The sequence below is a fragment of the Homo sapiens genome, chromosome 14, assembly GCF_000001405.40.
Source record: "Homo sapiens chromosome 14, GRCh38.p14 Primary Assembly".
NCBI classification, from domain to species: Eukaryota; Metazoa; Chordata; class Mammalia; order Primates; family Hominidae; genus Homo; species Homo sapiens.
The window spans coordinates 64,455,466-64,463,540 of record NC_000014.9 but is presented as its reverse complement, the minus strand read 5'-3'; the positions used below and the strand labels follow the sequence as shown (position 1 = coordinate 64,463,540).

At 43.2% G+C, this 8,075-nt stretch overlaps 2 protein-coding genes across 3 annotated transcripts in view; one reads left to right on the top strand and one right to left on the bottom strand.

The window, feature by feature from the left end:
- ZBTB25 (zinc finger and BTB domain containing 25) overlaps window positions 1-8,075 on the top strand; it is a 56,108-nt gene that overhangs the window by 41,673 nt on the left and 6,360 nt on the right. The window lies entirely within an intron of this gene.
- The window catches only part of MTHFD1 (methylenetetrahydrofolate dehydrogenase, cyclohydrolase and formyltetrahydrofolate synthetase 1), a 71,673-nt gene continuing 67,113 nt past the window's right edge, over window positions 3,516-8,075 (bottom strand). Inside the window, exons 27-28 of one of the 2 annotated variants that reach the window (NM_005956.4) lie at window positions 5,234-5,327; window positions 3,516-3,782 (exon numbers count right to left, since the gene is read on the bottom strand). In NM_005956.4, the coding sequence (NP_005947.3) occupies window positions 5,238-5,327 (90 nt within the window). In that variant the 3' untranslated portion in view covers window positions 3,516-3,782; window positions 5,234-5,237. The remainder of the gene's footprint in view (window positions 3,783-5,233; window positions 5,328-8,075) is intronic. The other variant, NM_001364837.1, reaches the window with a different exon arrangement.

Below are 8,075 nucleotides of genomic sequence, written 5' to 3'. Positions count from 1 at the left end.
AGGATTACAGGTGTGAGCCCCCATGCCTGGCCTTCACTTGCCTTTCTTTTAAACAAAATTAGTAAAAGGGAACTGAAAGGCAGTTTGAGGTGAGAGATGAATTTATTTAGTATTTGAAGGGCAAATTCGGACAGACTTCCTTAAGGTATATTACAAACAAGTCATCCCTGACCTCCACCAACACACATACACACAGAGTCACTCACACAGAGTATAGTACTATAAATAACATAGCGCACCATAGTTTTTCTTTAGGATATGACTAGAACTCAATGCCATATGTGTGTGTGTGTGTGTGTGTGTGTGTGTGTGTTTAATGTATCCAGTACCTCATGCATGAAAGAAACCTGTCATTCCTGAATTCAGGTAAGTGACAACGAAGGCTGTTTAAGCTATTACCCATATCATTGTCTACTACCCCATTAGTAGCTTTTCATTATATAACAGGAAATAGGCTATAAATGTATTTCTGCAATCTGATGAGAAATTATCCTACCTATAGCTTATCATGTTAATATCACTAGATACAGTGTGCCAGTAAAATAGCTTACATATTTATCTGAGCAATACTCTACTGATCTTACCATTTATCCCATCTTGATCTCTACCCATTGCCTGGGCCTATAGCTACCAAAAATGACTTATAACTCCTTGTTAATAGCTCTTACATTTCAGAGGCCTTCTGGGAATAAGCCCTCCAACCCCGTTCCCTGGGACACCATTGAATGAACCTGAGGCTCCAAGTCTCTGGTGGTTTCATCTGTTCCTGGGCACCATGAGGGTTGCACAGAGCCAACACAAACTCAATAGTAATACTGTTGCAATCTGTTTAATGTGGCAGCACATAAATGCTATCTCTTTTGAATTAAGACTGTGTGTACATCTTCAGTGCACAGAAACAGCCTCTGAAGTGAGATCAGAGAATGTACAATTTGTTTATCAGTAATATTACTAATAAGGGGAAGGAAGGCATTAGCAGCCCAGAGAAGAGAAAGGGCACGGGAAAGCCACTAATCTGGAGGGACTCTTAGCACCAAGGTAAAGGCACTAGACCTTCTCTGCCAGCACATGCTAATAGTTACCCCAAGCACTAATGCTTCTATAGGTCTTTTTTATTTTGACACAGGGTCTTGCTCTGTTGCTCAGGCTGGAATGCGGTGGCTCAGTCATAGCTCACTGCGGCCTCGAACTCCTAGGCTCAAGCAAACCTCTCACATCAGACTCCCAAGGAGCTAGGACTACAAGCGTGCACCACACACTCAGCTGAGTTTTGGGGTTTTGTTTTTTGTAGAGATGGGGTCTGTCTTGTCCAGGTTAGTCTTGAACTCCTGGGCTCAAGTGATCCTCCTGCCTCAGCAGCCTGGACAAGACAGTGAGACCCCATCTCTACAAAAAACAGAACTTCAAAACTCAGCTGAGTGTGGTGGGATTACAGGTGTGAGCTACCATGCCCAGCCCCTACCAGTATTGAGGATTTAAACCCATGTGGCTGTTGGCGATATTAGGAAACCTAAATCCTTTAAGATGATCCTTAAGTCACCATATCTGACAAGACTGCATCCTTCCCTTGTCTACAAAATGAATTCCCAGCAAATCCCATTCCAGGTGAAGTTTCACAGGACATTAAGAAATGTACCAGAAAGCGGTCGGGCACAGTGGCTCACGCCTGTAATCCCAGCACTTTGGGAGGCCGAGGTGGGAGGATCACTTGAGGCCAGGAGTTTGAGACCAGCCTGGCCAACATGGCAAAACCCCATCTATACTGAAAATACAAAAAATTAGCCAGGCATGGTGGTGCGAACCTGTAATCCCAGCTACTCGGGAGGCTGAGGTGGGAGAATCGCTTGAACCCGGGAGGCAGAGGTTGCAGTGAGCTGAGATCACGTCACTACACTGCAGCCTGGGCAAAAGAGCACGACTCTTGTCCCAACCCCCCTACCCCCCCTGCCAAAAAAAAAAAAAAAAAAGGAAAAAAAAAGTACCAGAAGCAATTAACTCTGCAAACAGGGCCTGGAGGATGCTGTGCAACAGGAACTGACAAGTGCTTACAATGTGCCAGGCCCTGTACAAAGCATCTTAGATGATGTGTTTGAGTAATTCCAGAACCGCCCTCACGAGGTAGGTACCAACAGTGCTCCTATTTCCATGGTGAGGATGTGGAGGCAGGGAGGTGGGTGAGGCTCTCTGCCATAGAGCTGGGGCTCTGCACTGTGACCCCTTTGCCATATGCCTCTCAAGGCAGCGCTATCATTTCTGTGGACTGTAAAATTGACTGTATTACAACATTGACATGGACCTAGGGAATTAAAAATAATAAAACCAAGGTCACTGGGAAAAATACTGCTTTGCCAACATCAGCAGTGTTTAGCACTGGCGCCAGTGGGATGCAGCATCCTCTGGAAGGATCCAGTGGAGGGAGACAAGGGGAAAAAGGGAAGGAAACAAATGGGAGAGGAAGAACAGAGATAGAAGATAAAGAACAAGAAGAGAAGGAAAAATATTTGATTTATTTTTTTAGACAGAGTCTAGCTCTGTCTCCCAGGCTGGAGTGCAGCAGCATGATCCTGGCTCACTGCAACCTCTGCCTCCTGGGTTCAAGCAATTCTCGTACCTCAGCCTCCCAAGTACCTGGGGTTATAGGTGCCTGCCACCACACCCAGCTAATTTTTGTATTTTTGGTAGAAACAGGGTTTTACCATGTTGGCCAAGCTGGTCTTGAACCCCAGACCTCAAGTGATCCGCCCACCTCGGCCTCCCAAAGTGCTGGGATTACAGGCATGAGCCACCTCCACGCCCAGCCAGAAGAGGAGGAAAAAAAATATTAGGTTGGTGCAAAAGTAATTGTGGTTTTTACCAACCTAATGTTTTAGGAAAAAGAAAGTCTGGGCCAGGTATGGTGGCTCATGCCTATAATCCCAGCTACTTGGGAGGCTGAGGCAGGAGAATCACTTGAACCCAGGAGACGGAGGTTGCAGTGAGCTGAGATCGCGCCACTGCACTCCAGCCTGGGCGACAGAGACACTGTCTCAAAAAAATAAAAATAAAAATAAAAAGTCTGTAGGGAAGGGTGGAGCCCAGGCATTTAGAAGAAACTCAATGAATACTTGCTGCACCAACAGAATAGAGGCTCACCTAAGGCTAATGCTGCATGACCATCCTTCTTGAGCACTCTAAACATAGACAGTGCTAAAGCTGTGACAGAAATGGGAATTCCAAGGAAGTTCAGGCAAAAACTTGTATAAGCAATACTTCCTCAGGGTAGAAAAACAAAATTCAACAATATAGAAAGGTATAAGATTAAAAGGTAAGTCATCAACTTCCAACCCAACCCTCTCAGGAGGTCCCCTGAATTATGTGTCCTCTCAGAAATACACAAGCATGCATACATTTCCCTCTAAACACAACAGTATCATAAAGGGCACACTGCAACTTGCATCTTCAGCCCAAGGGTCTGCCTGACAAATGAGCTCACAAAGGATGGCAGAGACCTGTGGCACAGTCTGTTAAGGCTGTAATTCATATTGCAACACCAAGATGGCAAACTTGTTTCCTTTTATTCTGTGGAACGTCACTAAAGTAAACAGACATGCATGATTTATGTTAATTTATACATGATGAGAATTAAGGCTGAAAATGACTTCTGGGGAAACTCCTACTATTAGTTTCAGATCTTCTGGGCAGGGGCTGACTTCTCTTGGCTTACTTATACTTCCTAACTCCCAGTGGGCCTGAATAGACACTGGCCAGACTTTCAAAGTAGCTTCTTGAAGATGGATGGTGATCTGGAAGGAAAAACAAGAAATAAATGTTTTCTCTAAGCAAGCACTGAAATGTTTCCTGTTCCTTCCATACTGCACCATTACCCACTCACATTGCCAAAGCTGTTAACATTTACATCCTTTCCTGCCACCAGCTCTTCTAGGGCGTGTCCATAAATGGACTTGAAAATGATGCATGGTATTTCCATAGTACTGTGTGAATACTGTTCAAGACCAGACCAAGCCGTGAGCCATGACTGCATTTCGAGTATCACACATACCCTCTCAAAGAATAGTGTTCTAGCATCAAACTACAGTTTGCTTCTACTTGGACCTTAACTTTCTCAAATAATGCAAGAGCTTTTGTTTTATACTATGACCCTTTGATATCCTTGTCTTTTCTAGCTTTTTCTAGTTTTTCTCAGGTGCTCCCCCAACCTGTTCCACACAGGATTTGTAACTTCAGGTCATTTGCATGGTTATCAGAATGCCCCTTCGCTAATGTCCAAATGAGGGTTCAGTTTCCCAAAACTCACGTCTTCCTTTTTTCTTGGTTAATTCCTCATTTTGCTAAGTACATTGCTAAATAACTTCTTAGGAAGAGATGTGGGGTGGCAAACCCTTGCACGTCTGAAAATATCCAGATAGATTCGGCTAGGTGTGAGCACATGTTGAAAGTCATCTTCCCTGTGACCTTACAGGACACTCCTCCATTGTCTAAAAGCTTCTTATTGCCAGTAAGACGGGCGTTAAGTCTAGTTCTCATTCTTTTCATAGGCAAGCCACTTTTTTCGTCTCTGGAGAAAGATGTTAGGATTTTCATGTTTGATATTTTTGCAGTTTCAACAGGATGTGTCTAGGGATATAAGTGCACACTGCAACTTGCTGCTTCAGCCCCAAGGGTCTGCCTAAGGAGAGACACGTCCTGTTGAAATTTCAAAAATATCAAACAATGCAATGTCACTCATTGCAGTCGGTACTCAGGGCCCTTTCACCTAAGGCCCTAAGAACTGCCAGATTGGTCCTGTTTCCTTCTCTTTTCTATTATACTTCCTAAGACATTTGCTAATTCTTGCCTTCTAACTACCTATTCAGAGTATACAGACCGTCAGCTGTTCCTGACCTGCAATGTGTCATCAACTCTGAACCCCAAGCCTCCTGGGGCTTCAGCAGAGGGAGTCTAACCTCTCCTGTAGTTTCCTCTGTAGTTTATTGGACAGCAGTTTTCTCCCCTACACTGTCAACCTGTGACAAGCCATGCTGCGCTTCTTCCAAAAATGTGTTGAAATATAAATATTTCAATTCATTGGTTATTGCCAACTCTCATTACTATCCCCTCTCCCCTCAGGGAAGTCTGAAAAGAAATGTTTTGAAAGCATTAGAATGTGAATTTTTATAGCGTCAGTTTGAGCCCTATAATTCATAAATAAGCTACATGAGGAAAAAAGCCAAATTATTACCCAGTAACAACTTACCTGTTTAGAATAATCCATTCACCTGTTCTGTTTCAGGGTCCAAATCAATATCATAAAAACAGGGCCGGGTGGGGAGTCCAGGCATTGTGCTCATCTAGGATGTAAAAAAGCATTACAAATAAACTAATGCTGGGCACAGTGGCTCACGCCTATAATCCCAGGCTGAGGTGGAGAGGATCACTTGAGGCCAGGAGTTCTAAACCACCCTGGGCAACATAGTGAGACCCCCATCTCTACAGGAAATAAAAAATTAGCTGGATATGATGGCATGTGCCTGTAGTTCCAGCTACTTGGGATGCTAAGGCAGGAGGATTGCTTGAGGCTAGGAGGTTGAGGCCACAGTGAGCCATGATCATCCGATTGCCTGGGCGACAGAGCAAGGCCATGTCTAAAATAAACGTAAAGTCATCTTTACTTTCACTTTTCCTTCAGAAAGAAAGCCCAAGGCATAAAGATAGAACATCATTTTATAGTTGTCAATAAAGTGGGTACTCTTGTTACATATTAAAAATCAAGTCACTGATCCTGTTAAAAAACTCAGAAACTGATCCCTGCCGGGCGTGGTGGCTCATGCCTATAATCCTAGCACTCTGGGAGGCCAAGGCAGATGGATCACCTGAGGTCAGGAATTTGAGACCAGCCTGACCAACATGGTGAAACCCCATCTCTACTAAAAATACAAAAATTAGCTGGGCATGGTGGCGTGTGCCTGTAATCCCAGCTACTTGGGAGGCTGAGGCAGGAGAATCGCTTGAACCTGGGAGGCGGAGGTTGCAGTGAGCCGAGATCTTGCCACTGCACTCCAGCCTGGGTGACAGAGCAAGACTCCATCTCAAAAAAAAAAAAAAGGAAAAGAAAAGAAACTGATTCCTCATGTCCTTCTGCAAACCAAATGCCAGCCTTCACTATCATCTTCCATGTGGTCACAAGCAGTAGCAGGAGGTGTTTCCACCTTCACCTTACAAGAATGAGTGCTGGGGAGTAGAGGAGTTGCTCACTCGCCTCCTCAGCTCACGCTTTGCAAGACCAAAAGGAGGTACAGGGCTTGCCTGCTTTTAAATTTTGTTTCGTTCAGTCTTGCTAGCTGAGCTGCCCATGTGATTTTTGCTTCAGCAACACGATGGTAGGAGTTAGTATCCTTTAACTTGGGCCAAGACACTTTTGTACATAATCTAGATGGTTTTATAATCACCATTCTTACTGGCCCAAAATGGCCTTCTAAAACTAAACTTGTAATGCTTACAAATTATATTTGTACTCACTACTTTTCTAAAGACTCGGCTTTGACAAATTTCTACTTAGATGCAAATATGTACGGCTTGCAAGTGAAAACTCCGTATATTTTTATCTGTAACAATGTCCTATATAATGAATACACACAAGTTCCAAATCAAATCTAGACAGGAAAACAGCTTAGGTTACTTCTAAAACTTAACTATAAAAAGGTTATTTAAAAAGAGTCATCTTCTGTAACACAAAACATCATCAATACTTTAGAAAACCTCATTCTGACTGACTTCTGAGTACCAATCAATATTCCCCAAAACACATTATAGGGATCTGACAACTGGTTTATATTCTTATATTGTGTAAGAGGTAAGGAGGTGCTAGGTGTGAGACAAGTAGGAGAGAGGAAAGGATGGGTCCTTAGACACAGCAGAAAAACCGGAAGATGACATTATAAAGATAAAAGACACATGCCCATTGTTGTAGACGGGCATGTGCATGTCAGCAGAAAACCCTAAAGATGGTTCCCTAAACAGTGATGAGTAGGATTTTTGATATTTTCACTCATTCCCCAAGAGGATTTTCCCTCCTAAACACTGGTCACTGATAATCAGAAAAAATACAAAAAAAGACAATATTATGTGTACGCACATGTATGAACCTAGATATAAAGTTCTGAAAATAAGCCATCACACTTTGAATTAATATAGAAAATATTCAAATAATCTGAGTCTCGTTAAGGCCCCAACGGCAACTGGAAGGTGTTAGAATAGTGATTAAACCATTTGATCATGTGTGGAAACGCCTTGGTCCAACTTAAAGTTAAAAGCCTCTGACACATACTTTGTTCTAAATGAGAAAGTCTTGAGTTCGGCAGGCTGTGTCTCTCTCCACCTTACAGCCTGACTCTCACTGGCCTGACTGCTTCCAGATTTGCTTTCACCTCTACTGTTACCCTTTTCTTCATGTGAAGATCAAAAGTGACAAGAAAGAGTACAGCTACCCGTCTTTCAGCTGGTAGCTGCTGACAACTTCTCCAAAAAGAACAACACATATTTCTGCACTATTCAAGGTGCTGGGTAAAAATGGTGGAAAATTCCTACCACAAGGGATTTCTACAAATCCTGGAGACTGATGTACATCATAGCAAGTCTAAGCCTTCTGCTCTCTATAGAGAGCTAAGGAGGCAGTGAGATGCAGGCATTTGTGCTAAGCACCACTGTGATGTGATGATGTTGCCTACAGTGTGAGCTGAGGGCAGCAGGGCTCTCACCTTTCATAATTTGCCCAAGGCCAAGATCTGAAGAGGTGAAAATGAATTCAGCTCTAATGTCCTACGTTTTCAACTCTATAATGCCACCTCCTACCACTTTCTTACTATACTGAAAGAATGACATAAATCCAAAAGGATGTATGTTGGTTTCTTTTCCATGTGTGTTGATTTAGTTTAATATTTCAGTCCTGTATTGCATGGCAGTACAATCTGTAGATACAGGATACAGGGCAGATTTAGGGGATAACCTAGATTCAGGATCCAAGTTAACCTTGGAACAATGTCAGCCCAAACTATGATTATGTCCTTAAGCATCCCTCCCCTCTGCTTCCCAACTGGCAA